Source organism: Homo sapiens, chromosome 11 (genome assembly GCF_000001405.40).
Source record: "Homo sapiens chromosome 11, GRCh38.p14 Primary Assembly".
In the NCBI taxonomy this organism is placed as follows: Eukaryota; Metazoa; Chordata; class Mammalia; order Primates; family Hominidae; genus Homo; species Homo sapiens.
In genome coordinates, this window is record NC_000011.10 from 57720093 (window position 1) to 57741485 (window position 21393).

Sequence of the window (21393 nt, forward strand, 5' to 3'; positions counted from 1 at the left end):
AGCCTGGCCAACGTGGTGAAACCCCATCTCTACTAAAAATACAAAAAAAAAAAAAAAAAAAGGTGCCACTGACCCTCTCTTTTGGGGCCTCTCGTTTTCCTTATAGAGCCCCAAAAGTCACTAATGGGTTCATGTCAGGTTTAAAACTCTTCTCTCTTTTGAATTAAACTCTCTAGTCTTTGGCTTTTGTATCGATACATGTGTCTATATATGTATGTATATGTCTATACATGTGTTTATTGTGTATATGGTACCAATAACGAATGAGTACCCCCAAAAGTCAGGAGTCAACAAATGGAAATTCAAAACAAAACTTTTTCTTTTTTTTGAAACAGAGTCTTGCTCTATCGCCCAGGCTGGAGTGCTTTAGCATGATCTCTACTCACTGCAACCTCTGCCTCCAGATTAAGCGATTCTCATACCTCAACCTCCTGAGTAGCTGGGATCACAGGCGTGTGCCATCACACACGGCTAATTTTTGTATTTTAGTGGAGACAGTTTCACCACGTTAGTTAGGCTGATCTCGAACTTCTGGCCTCAAGCCATCCGCCCGCTTTGGCCTCCCACAGTGCTGGGATTACAGGCGTGAGCCATCGTGCCTGGCCTCAAACTAATTTTTATAAGTGTTTCTTTTTTTTCCTCTGAGTTAAAAGACTTGCATCTGCAATGGACTGTTACCTTACAAGGAATCGAACCCACGCTGCAGCAGCTAACCAGTTTATTGCCAGCCACTAGACCACAGATCATAGTGCCTTTTTGCAGGCCCTTCAGGGGATCCAAAACAAGCAGTTTGAGTGTACAAAGAATTTTAACTTGTGTTTTGAATCTGATTTCTGTCTTTTAAAAATCTTGCCAAGGGAGTTTCTAAGGCTGTGTTCTTTCTGTATCTTTTTATGGGTACTAGAAAGATAGCTGTTTTTTTTTTTTTTCCTCAGGCCAGGTACGGTGGCTGTAATCCTAGCACTTTGGGAGGCCAAGGCGTGTGGATTGCCTGAACTCAGGAGTTCGAGACCAGCCTGGGCAATACAGTGAAACCCCGTCTCTACTAACATACAAAATATTAGCCGGGTGTGGTGGTGTGTGCCTGCAATCCCAGCTACCTGGGAGGTTGAGGCAGGAGAATTGCTTGAACTGGGAGGCAGAGGTTGCAGTGAGCTGAGATAGTGCCACCGCACCCCAGCCTAGGTGACAGAGTGAGACTCCATCTCCAATCAATCAATCAATCAATGTTTTATTTAAATAAATAAATAAAGTTTTTTTTTTTTTTTTTTTTGAGATGGAGTTTTGCTCTTGTTGCCTAGGCTGGAGTGCAATGGCTCAGTCTCGGCTCACCACAACCTCAGCCTCCTGAGTAGCTGGGATTACAGGCATGTGCCACCATGCCCAGCTAATTTTGTATTTTTAGTAGACATGGGGTTTTTCCATGTTGGTCAGGCTGTTCTCAAGCTCCCAATCTCAGGTGATCCACCAGCCTCGGCCTCCCAAAGTGCTGGGATTACAGGTATAAGCCACTGTGCCTGGTCTAAAATGTTTTTTAAATAAAGCCAATTTACTTAGCGACTTAAGCCAATAAGCCTTCTTCATGGAAAGTCTCAGAGGTAATTTTCTAGGTTCAGAATACCAGATGATATAACCCTCACATTCCCCCAAAATATTTACTTTCAAAAATAGGCTAAGATAGCGAAAGACTCTTGTTTTCATAGACAGTTAAGGATGGTGTTTATGTGTGTGTTTCCTGTAGTATCCCACCAATACGTGGGGGGCTGCTAATCATAGACCTATTAATTTGAGACACCAGCTAGGCCCTCCCTGGATTGGACTTGCCCAGGACTAACCAGGCAATAAGAGTTGAGATTTCTTCCTTCTCACTGAAGTAATTTTATTTATTTATTTTTTAAATTAATTTTAAAAATTGAGGGGGGAGACAGGGTCTTGTTCTCTTACCCACGCTACAGTGCAGTGGCATGGTCGCAGTTCACTACAGCCTCAACCTGCTGCACTTAAGCCATCCTCCCACCTGAGCCTGTCAAGCAGATGGGAGTACAGGCACGTGCCAACATACATGCCCAGCTAATTTTTAAAAATCATTTGTGGAGAGGAGGTCTCACTGTGTTGCCCAGGCTGGTCTCGAACTCCTGAGCTCAAGCGATCCTCCCACCACAGCCTCCCAAAGTGCTAGGATTACAGGTGTGAGCCACCGCACCCAGCTTCAGTGAAGGAATTTTTTTAAAAGGAGAAGAAAAAGATAAAAGAGTTGAGACAATAAAATCAGGTGTGAGTCACTGCACCCGGCCCTCTTTCTCTTTTGAAAAGGCCTTGAAAGATGGCTCTCTCCTTCACCTTTTGTTGTGTCCTGTAACTTTTACTAATTATCTAAAGTAAGGGAGAAAAATTGTTTTTGAAAACAGGCAAATAAAGTATCTTTTGAACATGGCTTTTATTCTGCATGCCTGTTATATCTGTATCTTTATATGTGTCATATAGAAGTGATACTTTACTGCCAAACTACATGAAAGAGCTCTAATCAAGTAATTTAAAAAATGTAAGTGCTTATCACATTGGTAAAAGCTAGCTCAGATGCCTTTTAATTTACATAACCTTGGTAAAACTCTCCAGTGATTTAAAAATCTTAAAGTCATGTTTAAACCCTCAAGTTTTTTTTTCCCCCACTGGAAATTTGGGTTACTAGAAGTTAAGATAGTAGAAACATAAAATATGCTTTTATTAAAATTTTATTGGCTGGGGTGCAGTGGCACAAGCCTATAATCCCAGCACTTTGGGAGGCTGAGACGGGTGGATCACCTGAACTCAGGAGTTCGGGACCAGCCTGGTCAACGTGGCAAAACCCCATCTGTACAAAAATACAAAATTAGCTGGGCGTGGTGGCGTGTTCCTGTAATCACAGCTACTTGGGAGGCTGAGGCAGGAGAATCCCTTGAACCCGGAAAGCAGAGGTTGCAGTGAGCTGAGATTGTGCCAATGCACTCCACCCTGGAGGATAGAGCAAGACTCCGTCTCAAAGAAAATAAATAAATAAATAAACACACGGATGTCAACTCTCAAAAAAATGTAAGTTTCTTTTTTGTTAAGAAACTAAGTGGCTTGGGCTGGGTACAGTGGCTCACGCCTGTAATCCCAGCACTTTGGGAGGCCAGGGCGGATGGATCACCTGAGGTCAGGAGTTCGAGACCAGCCTGACCAATGTGATGAAACCCCATCTCTACTAACAATACAAAAAAAATTAGCTGGGTATGGTGGTATGCACCTGTAATCCCAGCTACTTGGGAGGCTGAGACGGGAGAATTGCTTGAACCCGGGAGGCGGAGGTTGCAGTGAGCCGGGATTGTGCCATTGCACTCCAGCCTGGGCAACAAGAGCAAAACTCCGTCTCAAAAAAAAAAATTCATCGCAAAAAAAAAAAAAGAAAGAAAGAAACTAAGTGGCTCACGCCTGTAATCCCAGCACTTTGGGAGACTGAGGCAGGCGGATCACAAGGTCAGGAGTTCGAGACCAGCCTGGCCAACATGGTGAAACCCTGTCCTACTAAAAAAAATACAAAAATTAGCCGGGCATGGTGGCGAGTGCCTGTAATCCCAGCTACTCGGGAGGCTGAGATGGGAGAATTGCTTGAACCCAGCAGGCGGAGGTTGCATTGAGCTGTGATCACACCACTGCACTCCAGCCTGGGTGACAGAGCAAGACTCTGTCTCAAAAATAATAATAATAATAATAATAATAATAATAAGCTAAGAGTTGCTTTATAATGAAGAAAATTATACAGATAAAACTAAATGGATTTTTTTTTTTTAAAAAGGAAAACAAAACAAGCCAGGGCAACAAAACTCTGAGCCCTATGGTTACCAAGAAAATAGTCAATATAGGGGAAGGGCAAAACCAAGTAACTATTTAAAACCAAAGGGTGTAATGTAAAGGAATTGTTCCATTTTGTAGATTGGTATCATTCAGCTTCTTTTTTTAAAAAAAACTTTAGTGGATTGTGAAAATAACTGCTTTAAGGACAAAATTCTTAATTTTAAATGCTACAGAATTTAAGAGCTTGTTTGAATTAATGCAGGACCCAGAACTCATTACTGAACAGTCACTGAGTATATATGATCCAAACGCAAAGGGGGTTTATTCTTGAAAAAGCAATCAGCCTAGTGGGCCAGATAATGCCATTATAAGGTCTCTTTGCCCTGAGAAGGGAACTGCCCAACTCTCCCTTTAAAATACCAAGTGAAGTACCCCAGATGAAGCAGTTAGTATGTTTCATATACAAGCCATGTTGCACTAGCTTTATGATAACTGGGATATCCTCCCACCAAATATGTCTATTACCCAGGTCATGGTAAATTTGGAGGTTAAGAGGGCCCGTTTTACATGGGTGCCCTCCTACAGAATCATAGGTCTGTTTAAGAAGCCTTACCAAATATCCTGTCCCTCATAGGTCTTACAGATGCAACCCCATGCTGGGAACGCAAACCCTTTGTACCAGAAAAGGTAAAATGGTCTGGGGATTAAAAAAAAAAAAAAAGGCTTCCTGGGACCAGAACATAAAAACATACAGGTTAATAGAACTGTAAAATGTAAGATGTTTAAACAAGCTTTATCTAAGGTAGTTGTAACCCCTTTTACCTAAATGTCTTATGAAAATGGGTACTATAAGGCTGGGCATGGTGGCTCACACCTGTAATCCCAGCACTTTGGGAGGCTGAGGCGGGTGGATCACAAGGTCAAGAGTTCAAGATTAGCCTGGCCAAGGTGGTGAAACCGTGTCTCTACTAAAAATACAAAAATTAGCTGGGTGCGGTGGCAGGCGCCTGTAATCCCAGCTACTCGGGAGGCTGGGGCAGGAGAATCACTTTGAACTCGGGTGGCAGAGGTTGCAGTGAGCCAAGATCGTGCCACTGCACTCCAGCCTGGGCAACAGAGTGAGACTGTGTCTCAAAAAAAAAAAAAAAAAGAAAGAAAAGAAAAGAAAATGGGTTCTACATCTAATTGGGGGATGTTTTCCCCTTTCTAGTACTGTAAAACTGAAGATGTAAATCTGCTCATGTAAATCCTCCATTGCATAGCCTTTTGTGTGGAGCATTTATCGGGGCTGATGGCAAAAACTAAGCCCTGACTTTTTAAGTGCAGATTAAGCCATTATTTATCTCTCCCTGTTTTACTTCCAAGGAAACCGAAATCATGGTATTCTGAAGACTAGAAACATGAATCTCCCTCATTTGGTATCCCACTGACCCTGGATCTGTTTCACTGCTAATGCTCTGCTGCTAAAACTATACAAGCTGCCTCCCTTTGGGCCAGGGCACATGAGGTTATAAGGGCTGGTTTTGAGGGATAAAATTAGGTCAAGATTGGCTGGTCGAGGTGGCTCACGCTTGTAATCCCACCACTTTGGGAGACCGAGGCGGGTGGATCACTTGTGGTCAGGAGTTTGAGACCAGCCTGGCTAACAGAATGAAACCCTGTCTCTACTAAAAATACAAAAATTAGCCAGGTGTGGTGGCACATACCTGTAATCCCAGCTACTTGGGAGGCTGAGGCAGGAGAATCGCTTGAACCCAGGAGGTGGAGGTTGCAGTGAACTGAGATTGTGCCACTGCACTCCAGCCTGGGCGACAGAGTGAGACTCTTATCTCGAAGAAAAAAAAAAGGTCAAGATTAAACCCTCCAAATCAAGAAGGGGGTACTAAAAATGCCCAAACAGCTGGTAAAACAAAATTGGTTGCCTTCTAAACTATTATGTGTTACTTCTGCATCCACCCCAACCATAAAAATTTTCTGCTTACTATAAAATTAAGGAAAAATATTTACTAACATTATAAAGTACCATGGAACAAAGCCTCCTGGGTATAATACTCCAAATTATAAGTCGTGAAGATAAATATATCTACAGATACAGATATGTATATATACATATTTTAAATTATTTCTCAGAATGATGCTTATGTTTTGTATAGCTAATTGCTATAAGTCTGTAACAGAAACCAAGCTTACAGTAGCTCCACATAAAAGTTAAAAATAAGTCAGTCTGCCGGGCGTGGTGGTTCACTCCTGTAATCCTAGCACTTTGGTAGGCTGGGGTGGGCGGATTTCCTGAGGTCAGGAGTTCGAGACCACCCTGGGCAACATGGTGAAACCCCATCTCTACTAAAATACAAAAAATCAGCCAGGCGTGGTGGCATGCGCCTGTAGTCCCAGCTACTCAGGAGGCTGAGGTAGGAGAATTGCTTGAACCCGGGAGGCGGAGGTTGCAGTGAGCCGAGATCACGCCACTGCACTCTGGCCTGGGCGACAGAGCCAGACTCCATCTCCATAAAAGATAAGATTAAAAAAAAAACAAGTCAGTCTTGTAACTTTGTTTTTTGGGTTTATTGTTGGCTTTTTTTTTTACTTAATAATTTTAAGAAGTAATGAATGCCTGTCCACATCCATTCCTATATGGCCTAAAACAATTGACTATAAGTCTTTTGACTCTTAAGGCCCTCAGCCATAGGGAGTCCTGCCAAGGAAAAAACACTGTAGAATTATATGACTTCTCCTGTGACAAAACCTTTTCTCCCAAATACCAGTATATGGTGCAATACAAAAGTTGTGGGAAAAATAGGTTTCTACTTTTAATAAGTCTGTAACAATTTAAACACCAAGGACCAGGCATTTCTCCCATTTAATTTATATCCTCCCTCAGGATGCTATACCTATGGAGATAAATTGGCGGAAAGAGAGATTAAATTTATTACATTCTAATTTAATGTTGGTATCACAATTTTCAAATAAGATTTATCACAGGGTTCAAATAACCCTTATTAAGGAGTACAAACACACTGTAAGTCTATTCAAAGAATAGATGATGCATGCAGGGTTTTTCCTGGCTGATTGGGTTGTTTACTGCCCTCAGATTCTACCTATAACCCTGAGTGCCCAAATCTTCACTGTCTTTATGATATTTGTTATTATATTAGCATTAGGCATTTCTTGTAAATATTATGCCAGATACAGCAAAAGGCAAAGGCACAGTTAAAGACCCGGATCATAATAGCTCAGAAAATAGATCTGATCCGGGATTTTTTTTTAGACTAAGCCTGACTCCATTTCACCCCTTAAACAATTGGCTATTACATCAGGTCAGACCATGTCCTCCCCCCATTATCCAAATCGCTAATATTTAAAACTATTACCATCAAATCAAAGGACTCTAGAAACAAGCCTTCCTAGTCCTGTGGGACCCTGCCAGATAGCCAAATCAGACAACTCTAGGAATGAGGTTTCCTAGCACGTTGGGACCTGCTGGTGTTTGTTGGTCTACACATACATTCTATGGAATGCTTTTTGGCCAAGAGAGGGGACTGAGGACTAAGCTATGATTTTTTTTATCTTGCCCAAATTCCTTTCTAAGGGGTCTGGGTAATCATGCCCTAAAAACCATAAATTCTCATCAGATGGGTTTTATTTAACCCTGGATATCTATTGTGACTTACTTTCCTATCTGACTCTGGCATAACAAGGAAGAAACTAAAAATGTTTTACCCCAAAATCTGTTTCCTTCCCATACCTTGAAATTGCCCTACAAAGTCTCTTCTGGGAAAAATCCACATTCTGTAGAGAATCCCCTCTCCCCTTTGTTTTCCTTCCTTCTCAGATCCAGGAAATAATCAACTAAGAGCTAGGCACCCTTTTAAGTCCAATAAGAAACGATTTACAACCTGCTCTCTCTGAAGTCCGCTGAGAGCTTCCTCTGCACAATAAAACTTGGCCTCCTCAATCCTTTATCATAACCTGAACATTCCTTTCTGTGAATCCCAGGTCTTTAGACAAACTCAACCAATTGTCTGCCAGAAAATGTTTAAATTTACCTACAGCCCCGCTTTGAGTTGTCCTGCCTTTCTGAACGAAACCAATGTATTTCTTAAATGTATTTGATTGATGTCTCATGCCTCTCTAAAATATTAAGCTCTACCCAGACCACCTTGGGCACATGTTCTCAGGACCTCCTGAGGGCTGTGTCATGGGCCATGGTCACTCATATTTGGCTCAGAATAAATCTCTGAAAATATTTTACAGAGTTTCACTCTTTTTTTTTTTGAGACGGAGTCTCGCTGTGTCGCCCAGGCTGGAGTGCAGTGGCGCCATCTCGGCTCACTGCAAGCTCCGCCTTCCGGGTTCACGCCATTCTCCTGCCTCAGCCTCCCGAGTAGCTGGGACTACAGGCGCCCGCCACCATGCCTGGCTAATTTTTTATATTTTTAGTAGAGATGGGGTTTCACTGTGAGTTTGACTCTTTTTGGCAACAGTAATATGGCTCCCAACGTTGGCCTCAGAGAAGACTCAGAACCCCAAAGGAGTTGCCCGAGACTGGAGGTAAGGTACCAGCAGGGGCCCATTGAAGCCCCACTGAGTTCGAGCTTCTCCTTCGGTGGAACTGTTAAGTCGTCCTGAGCCCCGGACCTCCCTTCAAGGGCTGATGGTTCTTGATTTTTTCTGAGCTGGTTTTTTGCTAGGAAGTTGTTGTTTAAGGATCCTGATTGTAGTTTGGGTATGCATTCTGAAGGGAATTCTCTATTGCTTTTTCTCCTAAAATTTATCTTGATTCGGTTCATCTGTGTCCATTTGTGTGAGGAACTGAACTGTTGCTTTCATAGAGACTGAGTTTTTCAGCTCTGAAGAGAAAGGGTGTTTGCTCTTCCCAGCTGAAAGGTGCCCCTGGGTGACTGGGGGCTTTGTGGGAGTGTCCAGGGGTTGACCCCCAAGACGTACAGCGGCCCTAAAGGGAAATCCCTTTAGGGATTAATCCCCAAAAACAATTAATTTAAAAAATGGCTCATCCAGGAAACACACATGAGGGCTGATCACCCAGCGTTTTGAGCCCTCTCAGAGGTCACAGACCTCTGGAGAGAGACACTTAAGAGGGCAGAAACGACTCAGTGGTGACACTGTGGAGTCCTGCCTGCAAGCAGCACGCATCAATCCACCACACATCAATCCACCACACAAGAACCCTAGGCTACAGCTCAGCTCCTCTAAGGAGAAAAAAAAAAGGCGAGAAACAAATCTAAGACTAAGGAGAAAATGAGGAGAATGTCCCCTTTTCGGGTCCTTCATAGGTTTTATGGCACCTCTACTTGCCAGAATTGATATAAAATGGAAGTAATATGGTCTTTGTGCACATTTGCATTAAGAAAAAAGAGTCCTAAGGTCAAACTGAAAACTATAGAGTTCTAGGTTCTGTTTTTTTTTCTGCCTGCTTTAGATCGGCTGTTACTTTTCGACTGAGATAAAAACCACTGTTCTCTGTTTTTTTGCAAGTCGGTGAAGTTGTATTTGTCTCATGGCAAAAGTATTGAATTAATAGCTATGGGAACTGTGTGTGTGTGTATTTAAAGGCCTTTATAATAGACTTATATAATTTTACGTTCAATTGGCAATTGAAACCCTTTTAATTTCCCTCTAGCACACCAGACTTTCTCTTCTTACCTTATGATGTAAATTTTGCTATCTGATTTTCACCTGAGTTGCCTTTAATATGCAAATTTAAGGCTGTTTAGCTGACAGCTGCCTAGGGTAGGATTTTTAAAAAACGGAACAAAAAGGAGGTTGTTATGAGTCTATGCCATGTGCTTCTATCGGCATACCTAATAAGTCTATATATTTATGTGTGTGTATACAATATTTTCACTACTGAAAATATATAAAGAGCTCTAATTAATTGGCTTAAAAATATATAAAAGCGGGTAGGGCGCAGTGGCTCACGCCTGTAATCCCAGCACTTTTGGGAGGCCGAGACAGGTTGGATCACAAGGTCAAGAGTTTGAGACCAGCCTGGCCAACATGGTGAAACCCCGTCTCTACTAAAAATACAAAAATTAGCCAGGCATGGTGGCATGCACTGTAGTCCCAGCTACTAAGACTGAGGCAGGAGTATCGCTTGAACCCGGGAGATGGAGGTTGTGGTGAGCCAGGATCACACCACTGCACTCCAGCCTGGGCAACAGAGCAAGACTCCGTTTCCCCCCACAAAAAAAAATAATTATATATATATATATGCATGTGGTGGCCATGGTGCCTCACGCCTGTAATCCCAGTAACTTTGGGAGGCCGAGGTGGGTGGATCACCTGATGTCAGGAGTTCGAGACCAGCCTGGCCAACATGGTGAAACCCCTTCTCTACTAAAAATACAAAAATTAGCCAGCCATGGTGGTGGGCGCCTATAATCCCAGGTACTTGGGAGGCTGAGGCAGGAGAATCGCTTGAACCTGGGAGGTGGAGGTTGCAGTGAGCCGAGATCACACCATTGCACTCCAGGCTGGGCAACAAGAGTGAAACTGTCTTTAAAAAAAAAAAAAAAAAAAAAAAAAAAAGGCCAGGCATGGTGGCTCATGCCTGTAATCCCAGCACTTTGGGAGGCCGAGGCGGGCAGATCATCTGAGGTCAGGAGTTCAAGATCAGCCTGGCCAACATGGCAAAACTCCGTCTCTACTAAAAATACAAAAATTAGCCAGGCATTGGTGGTGGGCGCCTGTAATCCCAACTACTCGGGAGGCTGACACAGGAGAATCGCTTGAACCCAGGAGGCGGAGGTTGCAGTGAGCCGAGATCGTACCATTGCACTCCAGCCTGGGCAACGAGTGAAACTGCGTCTCAAAGAAAAACAAAAAACCAAGAACCTTGTAGAGTGAATTTTTGCCCTCAAATAAAATAACTGGGTTGCTTGAGAGAGAGAGACATTTAGGGTAAAACAGCCTAACCATTGTGAATGATCTATGTAAGTCATAATACGGTTAGTAAGAAGGAATTTTTAAAGGGGTTGTATAATTCGGTTGGCTATGATTAAAGAAAATCATATCTTTCTAGAGATTAGTCTTTAATATTTAAAAAATGCACTAACACAAAACTTAGTTAAAACAAGATTTTATTACAAATATTGAGTTATTTTTAATTCAATAAATTTTTAAATTCTGTAATGTGTTTCCTTTAACATTCTTCAGATTGATATCTTAAAAGTGCCACTCTTTCCGTTTTTTGTTTTTTGTTTTTTTTTTTTTTTTTTTTTTTTTTTTGAGATCCAGTTTCACTCTCGCTCAGGCTGGAGTGGAGTGGTGCAATTTCCACTCACTGCAACATCTGCCTCCCTGGTTCAAGCGATTCTCCTGCCTCAGCTTCCCGAGTAGCTGGGATTACAAGCATGCGCCACTGCACCCAGCTAATTTTTGTATTTTTAGTAGAGACGGAGTTTTGCCATGTTGGCCAGGCTGGTCTTGAACTCCTGACATCAGGTGATCTGCCCGCCTCAGCCTCCCAAAGTGCTGGGATTGCAAGGGTGAGACACCGCACCCAGCCTTTTTTTTTTTTTTTTTTTTTTTTGAGACCAAAAAAATTAAATCAATGTATTTGATGTCTTATGCTTCCCTAAAATATATAAAATCAAGCTGTAGAGCACCTTGGGCACATATTCTCAGGACCTCCAGAGGGCTGTGTCACAGGCCATGGTCACTCATACTTGCCTCAGAATAAATCTCTTAAAATATTTTACAGAGTTTGACTCTTTTCGTCAACACTGGCCACTGGACTTCACCCAAAAATAAGGCCTCCAAGTGGTGGAGACCAAGAAGCTCCCACTTGGTCACAAGTCGAGCTTCCAAGGACATAAGATGAGAAGGAAACCTCATCTGGTTTTTATTTTGGGGACCCACAGCACAATTTGTATGTCATTCTGATAAGAATTTTAAAACTCACCCACCAGTCTGGAGGGCCAGCTTGACCAATAGGCTTACAGGGGCTTTATTCTGATGTTGTACTTTATGGTACCCTACTCTATGACAAAATAACACAGGAAGATATAACAAGAGAAAAAGACTATTTTGGGGAGAAAAAGAATCAGACAATGTGAATATTCATACCAAAAACATATCAAAGTTGCTACACCTAAGACTAATCATACAAATGTTCTTTTCCCATTAATCTTAAATTTGGAAAGGAAAAGGAGACCAAAAGTGGTTTTTGTCTCTTTATTCATGTGTCTTTTTCTTTTTACTAGTGTTTCCGTGTGCGTTGATAAATTTTTCCTTTTCTCATGTCAATCTGCCTTTTGTCAGCTCATTTTCAGCAAAACTTTAGAAGGTGGAGGGGAGGCTACCTTTGTGCCTATAAGCAACATCTGTGCTCAGATGAAGGCGCATCATCCAGAATTTTTGTACTTTTTCCAGCCCCCAAAATGAGTCATTACCTTTACCAGAACCCACTCCCTTATTTTTTTCCTCTTTCCTTTTCCTGCTTCCTCTTTTTCCCAAACTGTATAATCAATTAGCTCAAATGTAGCCTTGCTATTTCAGAGGATCTTTCATTTGATATTTGATGCCACTTCAATGAAAATGGGACCCCAAAATATAAGTGGATAGTAATAAAGATTTTTAATAAGTATAGGAGACCTTTTATAAAGTTCATTTACCTGTATACTCTTATCTAATATGCAAAATGCTGGAAGTTTTATATTCTTACTCTGATAGAATTTTTAAAAAATGCTTAGGGTTAATAGCCAATTTTTGTTTTTCTGGAAAATTCATGGTTCACCTATTTACCTTGCTGATTGGGACTAGGTTCTCAGAGCTTCTAGATAGCTAAACACAGGAAGGTTCCTGGAACATATCCTTTTGGGTTTTTATGGAACTTCATTACATAGGTGTGACTAATTAAATCATTGGCCATTGGTGATCAGCTGAACTTTCAGCCTGGTGGGGGGTGGGGTGGGGCTGAAAGTCCTAACCTGCTAATCATGCGGTGTCCTTAGGCCATATGGTCCTTGTGGGAGCATCATAGAGTGTACTTACACAAACTTAGATGGCCTACTACACACCTAGGCTTTATGGCACAACCTGTTGCTCCCAGGCACAAACCTACACAACATGTTACTGTACTAATAAGCAGTTTAACACAATGGTAAGTATTTATGTATCTAAATATATCTAAACACAGAAAAGGTACAATAAAAATATGGTATTATAATCTTATGGGACCACTGTTGTATATGTGGTCTATTGCTGACCAAAATGTCATGATACGGCACATGACTATATATTTCACAGCATAACAGTGTGTCAGTGATAACTGTGGTTGTGTTTTTTTTTTTAAGTCCTCGTGTAAGACACAGTGAGGAATTTTTTTTTTTTTTTTTTTTTTTTTGAGATGGAGTTTCACTCTTGTCGCCCAGGCTGGAGTGCAATAGCGCTTTCTCGGCTCACTGCAACCTCCGCCTCTCGGGTTCAAGCGATTCTCCTGCCTTAGCCTCCTAGTAGCTGGAACTACAGGTGCCCGCCATCACGCCTGGCTGACTTTTTGTGTGTTTTTAGTAGAGACGGGTTTCACCATGTAGGCCAGGCTGGTCTTGAATTCCTGACCTCAGGTGATCCACCCGCCTCGGCCTCCCAAAGTGCTGCGATTACAGGCGTGAGTCACCGCGCCCAGCCTATAGTGAGGAATTTACAGATGAAACGATATAGCTGGAATTTGCTTAAAGTTTCTCTAAGAAAAAAAAATGGGTAGCATATATGAATTGGAAATCACAGTGGCAAAATGTTGGTTACTGTTGAAGCTGGGTAATAGGGGTTCATTCAATTATCCTCTCTTCTGTATGCTTCAAATTATCCATAATAAAAAGTTTTAAAACAATTAAATAGAACAACCAAGGGCTCTGCATTATAGAGTCATCCTAGAACCCAAGGCTCATTCTGTCTTCAACCTGTGGCCTTGGGTCATCCCAGCATCATCCAGCCAGCAAATGAAAAAAAGCTGGAATGCGGGCTGGGTGCGGTGGCTCACGCCTGTAATCCCAGCACTTTGGGAGGCTGAAGCGGGCGGATCACAAGGTCAGTAGATCGAGACCATCCTGGCTGAAATAATAGAAACCCGGTCTCTACTAAAAAATACAAAAAATTAGCTGGGTGTGGTGGCGGGTGCCTGTAGTCCCAGCTACTCGGGAAGCTGAGGCAGGAGAATGGCGTGAACCTGGGAGGCGGAGGAGACCGCGCCACTGTACTCCAGCCTGGGTGACAGAGAGACCCTGTCTCCAAAAAAAAAAAAAAAAAAAAAAAAAAAAAAGGACTGCAAGGGCACACACTTTCTTAACTGCCTGAACCCAGAAGTGGTAAATCACTTTCATTCACATTCCATTCTCAAGTAACAGTCACACAGTTCTACCTGGATGCAAAGAGATAGGGAGAGAGTCTAGCTGCAGTATGCCTGGGAAGAAAATAAATGAAGTTTGCAGTAGCAATAGCTAGTCCCTCCATAGACCATTTTCTGTCCTTAGAGAATTTCTTTTGGTCCTACCTTTGGTCCCCTGGTTAACTACAACTCTCTTTTAAAATTCATCTTTCAGCCAGGCACAGTGGCTCACGCCTATAATCTCAGCACTTTGGGAGGCCGAAGCAGGTGGATCACTTGAGGCCAGGAGTTCAAGACCAGCCTGGCCAACATGGTGAAACCCCATCTCTACTAAAAATACAAAAGTTCACCGGGCGTGGGGGCAGGTGCCTGTAATCCCAGCTACTCCGGAGGCTGAGGCAGGAGAATTGCTTGAATCCAGGAGGCAAAGGTTGCACTGAGCTGAGGTTGTGGCATTGCACTCCAGCCTGGGCGACAGAGCAAGACTCCTCCATCTCAAAAAAAATAAAAAATAAAAAATAAAAATAAATAAAATTAATCTTTCCACAACTTTCATTCCCAATTCTAACCCACCTAGTTTCATTCATGAAAATCTTTCCTGGCAGGGCAGGGTGGCTCATGCCTGTAATCCCAGCACTTTGGGAGGCCGAGGCGGGCAGATCACAAGGCCAAGAGATCAAGACCATCCTGGCCAACGTGGTGAAACCCCATCTCTACTAAAAATACAAAAGCCGGGCGTGGTGGTGGGCACCTGTAGTCCCAGCTACTCGGGAGGCTGAGGCAGGAGAATCGGTTGAACCTGGGAGGCGGAGGTTGCAATGAGCCGAGATCATGCCCCTGCATTCCAGCCTGGACAACAGAGCAAGAGTCCGTCTCAAAAAAAAGAAAAAATCTTTCCTAATTTCTGCCTCAGGTATAATATTTACAAAGTCTGTCATGCTCCCTCACCCCTATTTTCTTTTCTTTTTTTTTTGAGACGTTGTTTCACTCTGTTGCCCAGGCTGGAGTGCAGTGGCACGATCTCGGCTCACTGCAACCTCCGCCTCCCGGGTTCAAGCGATTCTTCTGCCTCAGCCTCCTGAGTAGCTTTGATTACAGGCGTATGCCACCGTGCCTGGCTAATTTTTTTGTATTTTTAGTAGAGACGGGGTTTTGCCATGTTGACCAGGCTGGTCTTGAACTTCTAATCTCAGGTGATCCACCCACTTTAGCCTCCCAAAGTGCTGGGATTACAGGCTTGAGCCACAGCACCCGGCCAGGAGAGCTTTATTTCTCATAAAAAGTTGCAACCTGCTGGCTATCCTGTCAGGCAGGGAAGCATAGCCTCCGCTCAGAAGCTAAAAACAGACACTTGGAGTGAGGGGTAAAGGAAACAGGAGTTTATGCTAAGCAGGGTGGCCAAATATACATATTTAATAAGCTATCGGCAGAGTCATGAATATTTATGAAAGGAGAAACACGTGCATGCTCAGTTGAGCTTCATATCTGTCCATAAGACCCATGTTCAAAAGTGGCAATGTTAACCATGATCTGAGGTGGAGTTTTCAGCCCTCTCAAGTCAAAAGGTGAAGCAGAGGACACAGAAACTATGCATTCTCCTTAGCCTGGCCAGATCCACTGCATGGTCACTGGTCTCTTATCAGGAAGCAATGCTGGTTAGTTGTTTTGTCCTAACTGCAAAAGGGAGGGGCAGTGTCAGGCAGTTGGTTGATGTCAGGTGGAGCAAGTCTTTTCAGAGGGCTGGTTTCTGTTTAACTTTCTGTTTAAGAAAGCCTAATGTTGGTAAGTGAAGGAGGGGGTATAAAGAGATGTGTCTGACCTCACACCCTGTTATGGCCGAGAACTCAGTTTTCAAGGTTTCTCTGGGGTCCCCTTAGTCAAGAAGGAGTCTGTTCAGTCACTTCAGGGCTTAGAATTCTATTACTTCTCAGTGTCTTTGTCATGTTTATTGTCTGTCTCACTTGCTCACTTGGTGGTTACATTCTACAACAGGGTTATCTAATCTTTTGGCTTCCCTGGGCCACATTGGAAGAATTGTCTTGGGGCACACATAAAATACACTAACACCTAATGATAGCTGATGAGCTAAAAAAAAAAAAAAATCAAAAATGTCTCATAATGTTTTAAGAAAGTCTATGAATTTGTGTTGGACCCCATTCAAAGCCATCCTGGGCTGCATGTGAGCCACAGGTTGGACAAGAAGGTTGTTCTAGAAGGTGAGAAAACTGTAAGACGAGTATTGAAAAGGGCTTTTTGAGAGCTCTGAAAGCCCCTTTCAGCTCTCAAATTATATCAAAAGTACATGGATTATCACGATGCATATTGGGTGGGGAGGAATGATTAAGTAATGGGGGCCGGGCTCGGTGGCTCACACCTGTAATCCCAGCACTTTAGGAGGCCGAGGCGGGCGGATCATCTGAGCTGAGGAGTTCCATACCAGCCCGGGCAACATGGGGAGACCCGGTCTCTACAAAAAATACAAAAATTAGCCAGGTACAGTAGTGTGCGCCTGTAGTCCCAGCTACTTGGGAGGTTGAGTCAGGAGAAACACAAGCCCAGGTGGCAGAGGTTTCAGTGAGCTGAGATCACACCATTGCACTCTAGCCTGGGCGATGGAGCAAGACTGTCTCAAAAAAAAAAAAAAAATTAAACATGTGGAATAGCTAGATATTATATTAATGGGCTATTATCAAGAAAACTTACCTGGAAAAGTTTTATTCTACCAGCGTCACATTGAGTTGATATTAATAATCTTACGATTTTATACCATATCATGCTTTATACAACTCTTTTTAATCTGTTATCTCATTTAATCCCCCAGTAGCATTTTGAAATAGATACTGTTCAGTTGAGGAAACCAAAGCTAAGGGATTAAGTGCTTTGTTGAAAAGCACCGCAGGCCTGGCGCGGTGGCTCGTGCCTGTAATCTCAGCACTTTGGTGGATCACCTGAGGTCAGGAGTTTGAGACCAGCCTGGCCAACATGGTGAAACCCTGTCTCTACTAAAAATAAAAAAATTAGCCGGGTGTGGTGGCGCATGTCTGCAATCCCAGCTACCTGGGAGGCGGAGGTTGCAGTGAGCCGAGATCGCGCCATTGCACTCTAGCCTGGGCAACAAGAGTGAAACTCTGTCTCAAAAAGAAAAGCACCAGCAAGTTTGTGGCAGGAGTAGAACCTGAATCCAGGTCTTCTGACTGATGTTTATCCCCGTACACCTTACCTAACTGCAGTTCTTTATTGTTCCCATTCCCAGTTTGGATCGCTATTGGTTTTTATTACATATTTAGTTCCCTTTCCCACCTAAGTTAGCTCTAGTCACTGCATTCCTGTTATAATACTTCGATTCTGTTCCAGAGAGAAGTGGAGATCCTGATGTTTCTCAGTGCCATTGTGATGATGAAGAACCGCAGATCCAGTAAGTTTAGTTCACTTCTCAGACTCAAGGTTAGATCTAATGCCCTTTGGAGGTGCTTTGCTTCATGTTAAGAGAGTGGCAATCATTTGGTAAATTTGTCCTACGTTTAATTCCAAGGCTGAATTTGAACTTGGACTTCTATCCCCTCCCTGTCTCCTATTTCAAAGTGCCCCATGAAGAGGGACAAAGAATGGGATATAGGAGTGCACAGCCCAGCCTGACCTGTGACATCTCTGTGTTTCAGTCACTGTGGAGCAACATATAGGCAACATTTTCATGTTTAGTAAAGTGGCCAACACAATTCTTTTCTTCCGCTTGGATATTCGCATGGGCCTACTTTACATCACACTCTGCATAGGTGAGGAGACTGCCTTTCTTTCTTTTTTTTTTTTTGTAAGACTGTGTTGATAGACTTGATTGTGGAAACCACAGTCCCAACAGTTGCAATCCCAAACATGTTTCTCCATACCCTTCTTCCATATCTCATACCTAATGAATTATATATGTAGCTCAGATGATAACAGTTTACAGAGACTGTTATTGTAGAGGTAGGGAATGTGTTGGTGGTCTACATATATCCACAAGTGTGTATTATTTGGGGGCTGAAATCCTTGGGTTGGTTTGGAAGTAAATTCCCTGTGTAAGGCTTTTTATGTTTCCTTCGACATCTTCTTTCTGTATTTAGTGTTCCTGATGACGTGCAAACCCCCCCTATATATGGGCCCTGAGTATATCAAGTACTTCAATGATAAAACCATTGATGTGAGTGCTCTTTCCCCTTTCTGTTTCTTGGGTCCCTTGTGGGTGATTTTGTAGTTGTGCTCTCCATTCACTAGGAGGAACAACAGTGCTTCAAAATGGATGTCACGGGCACTGTGGTTCATTATGAGAGCCGGGGGAGAGGGAACACCAGGATGAGGAATTAGATGCTAAAGTCTGAACCTTCCCAGGAGGCTATGTGGATCCAGCTGACTTTTCTTCCCTGTATTTGGCAGGAGGAACTAGAACGGGACAAGAGGGTCACTTGGATTGTGGAGTTCTTTGCCAATTGGTCTAATGACTGCCAATCATTTGCCCCTATCTATGCTGACCTCTCCCTTAAGTGAGTAGTGCAAAGGGAGGGATGGTGGAAATGGAGATGCTGTGCCTTCCCTCTCACTGTTTTTGGCTTTTCTTTTTCTTTTGGCCTTGATTTTCACACATGGTAACCAAAGGCATCTCCCTCTCCCCTCTTAAATATCTATACTTCCACTTTCCTTGATCCATTATTTTTTTTCAGCATATTAAATAATATATTCTTTTCAGATACAACTGTACAGGGCTAAATTTTGGGAAGGTGGATGTTGGACGCTATACTGATGTTAGTACGCGGTATGTAAAGACCTGGGCAGAGGGTCTGAGCAGGGAAATCACTTTGAGTGATACATACAGGGACATTTAGAGAACTTTCTGGGCCCTGCAGGTACAAAGTGAGCACATCACCCCTCACCAAGCAACTCCCTACCCTGATCCTGTTCCAAGGTGGCAAGGAGGCAATGCGGCGGCCACAGATTGACAAGAAAGGACGGGCTGTCTCATGGACCTTCTCTGAGGTACCTGAAAGGAAGGGCAGGTGCATGAAGGGTGCAGAACAGTAGGTGGGCTTTCAAGCCCTACCCGGGTTTGATTCACAGCTCTGCCACTTGCCCATTAGCTTTGAGGGTGTGGACTAGTTACTAGACCTCATGTTTTAATTCATTTAGCAAATATATATTATGTGCAGACCTGCTAGTACTGGGTAACAATCATTAGTTAAGATTTGGTCTCAGGCCAGGCACGGTGGCTCACGCCTGTAATCCCAGCACTTTGGGAGGCCGAGGCTGGCAGATCACCTGAGGTCAGGAGTTTGAGACCAGCCTGACCAACATGGAGAAACCCCGTGTCTACTAAAAATACAAAAATAGCCGAGTGTGGTGGCGCATGCCTATAATGCCAGCTATTTGGGAGGCTGAGGCAGGAGAATCGCTTGAACCCGGGAGGTGGAGGTTGCAGTGAGCTGAGATTGCACCATTGCGGTCCAGCCTGGGCAACAAGAGACTCCATCAGGAAAAAAAAAAAAAGATTCTGTCTCGAAGGCCACTGCACCTATTGTCTGTAGGTGTTAGGTTCCCTGTCAGTTAATTGGAGGTAATAACCCCTGGCTTACAGGGTTGTTTTGCAGATTACATTAAATAATTTAGGTATAATTCTTGGCACGGTGATTGGCACATAATGGGTATTTAACTATTAGTTGACTTTTCTGGGTACCTAAAAAAGAGGAAGGTTAGGGAAGATTTTTGTCCTTTGCTTACTCCTTCCTTTCCCAGACTTTGTGTAAAATACCTCTTACTTCCCAGGCTCTTTACTCTCCCTTCCAACCCAGATCCTGACGTGTGCATCTCTTTTGTGCAGGAGAATGTGATCCGAGAATTTAACTTAAATGAGCTATACCAGCGGGCCAAGAAACTATCAAAGGCTGGAGACAATATCCCTGAGGAGCAGCCTGTGGCTTCAACCCCCACCACAGTGTCAGATGGGGAAAACAAGAAGGATAAATAAGATCCTCACTTTGGCAGTGCTTCCTCTCCTGTCAATTCCAGGCTCTTTCCATAACCACAAGCCTGAGGCTGCAGCCTTTTATTTATGTTTTCCCTTTGGCTGTGACTGGGTGGGGCAGCATGCAGCTTCTGATTTTAAAGAGGCATCTAGGGAATTGTCAGGCACCCTACAGGAAGGCCTGCCATGCTGTGGCCAACTGTTTCACTGGAGCAAGAAAGAGATCTCATAGGACGGAGGGGGAAATGGTTTCCCTCCAAGCTTGGGTCAGTGTGTTAACTGCTTATCAGCTATTCAGACATCTCCATGGTTTCTCCATGAAACTCTGTGGTTTCATCATTCCTTCTTAGTTGACCTGCACAGCTTGGTTAGACCTAGATTTAACCCTAAGGTAAGATGCTGGGGTATAGAACGCTAAGAATTTTCCCCCAAGGACTCTTGCTTCCTTAAGCCCTTCTGGCTTCGTTTATGGTCTTCATTAAAAGTATAAGCCTAACTTTGTCGCTAGTCCTAAGGAGAAACCTTTAACCACAAAGTTTTTATCATTGAAGACAATATTGAACAACCCCCTATTTTGTGGGGATTGAGAAGGGGTGAATAGAGGCTTGAGACTTTCCTTTGTGTGGTAGGACTTGGAGGAGAAATCCCCTGGACTTTCACTAACCCTCTGACATACTCCCCACACCCAGTTGATGGCTTTCCGTAATAAAAAGATTGGGATTTCCTTTTGATTGCGCGTTTGTGTGTTTCTGTATTAGAAAAGCCTGACAACTGCAGAGGAATTGCCCATCTTAAGGGCAAAGGCCATCCTATTTGGTTTCACCAAATGCCGGGCATTGATCCCCAGGACTGGCAAGAGTTGGAGAAGTCTAGTTTCCATAAATCTAGAATAGCGGCCACATGTTGTTAGGTGGTGGGTTTACTCTGGGATTGGCCTGCGGTTGCCAGGGAGGAGAGTTTGGCGGCAGATGGTGGCACACAACATTTAGCGCCATGCAAAGGTACAGAAAAGATTGCGCGAAGCGAGGCTAGCAGTCGGACCTAGTCTCCGCCCCTTCCTGCTGTGTTCACCATCCCAGCGTCCCCTGTCCCCTCCACCCGAAGCGATGGGTGGTTCCGTCAGGCGCTTCCCGCACCTTCCCGCTCCCTGCTTGCAAAGTGGTTGTGCCCCAAGGTCCGCCTCCAGGCCACGTGGGTGCTGCGGGCCAAGCTTTCCCTTCCTTTGAGAGAGGTTTCCGCTGTA

At 43.5% G+C, this 21393-nt stretch overlaps 1 protein-coding gene and 1 long non-coding RNA gene across 15 annotated transcripts in view, besides 3 other annotated features; both read left to right on the forward strand.

Annotated features, from left to right (window-relative positions):
* The window catches only part of TMX2 (thioredoxin related transmembrane protein 2), a 28381-nt gene extending 7500 nt beyond the window's left edge, over window positions 1-20881 (forward strand). For 2 of the 14 annotated variants that reach the window (NM_001347894.2, NM_001347896.2), the window contains exons 2-8: window positions 17516-17576; window positions 17744-17934; window positions 18262-18338; window positions 18572-18678; window positions 18882-18947; window positions 19039-19168; window positions 20007-20881. In NM_001347894.2, coding sequence (NP_001334823.1) covers window positions 17853-17934; window positions 18262-18338; window positions 18572-18678; window positions 18882-18947; window positions 19039-19168; window positions 20007-20153 — 609 coding nt within the window. In that variant the 5' untranslated portion in view covers window positions 17516-17576; window positions 17744-17852 and the 3' untranslated portion in view covers window positions 20154-20881. Of the gene's footprint in view, window positions 1-4447; window positions 4501-17515; window positions 17577-17693; window positions 17935-18261; window positions 18339-18571; window positions 18679-18881; window positions 18948-19017; window positions 19169-20006 lie in introns of all 14 variants that reach the window. The other 12 variants (NM_015959.4, NM_001347892.2, NR_144934.2 and 9 more) reach the window with 11 other exon arrangements.
* The window catches only part of TMX2-CTNND1 (TMX2-CTNND1 readthrough (NMD candidate)), a 106658-nt gene that overhangs the window by 7570 nt on the left and 77695 nt on the right, over window positions 1-21393 (forward strand). Inside the window, 1 exon segment of the long non-coding RNA NR_037646.1 lies at window positions 17516-17576. This is a non-coding gene — a long non-coding RNA (TMX2-CTNND1 readthrough (NMD candidate)).
* Window positions 4895-5396: an enhancer, noted in NCBI's record as "H3K4me1 hESC enhancer chr11:57492459-57492960 (GRCh37/hg19 assembly coordinates)". NCBI's record gives its function as "activates a minimal SCP1, AML or CMV promoter by ChIP-STARR-seq in primed H9 embryonic stem cells {active_cell/tissue: H9 hESC(primed)}" and the evidence as "EXISTENCE:reporter gene assay evidence [ECO:0000049][PMID:30033119]".
* Window positions 5397-5896: an enhancer, noted in NCBI's record as "H3K4me1 hESC enhancer chr11:57492961-57493460 (GRCh37/hg19 assembly coordinates)". NCBI's record gives its function as "activates a minimal SCP1, AML or CMV promoter by ChIP-STARR-seq in primed H9 embryonic stem cells {active_cell/tissue: H9 hESC(primed)}" and the evidence as "EXISTENCE:reporter gene assay evidence [ECO:0000049][PMID:30033119]".
* Window positions 21101-21220: an enhancer, noted in NCBI's record as "active region_4729". NCBI's record gives its function as "activates an Ori minimal core promoter by ATAC-STARR-seq in GM12878 lymphoblastoid cells {active_cell/tissue: GM12878}" and the evidence as "EXISTENCE:reporter gene assay evidence [ECO:0000049][PMID:35858748]".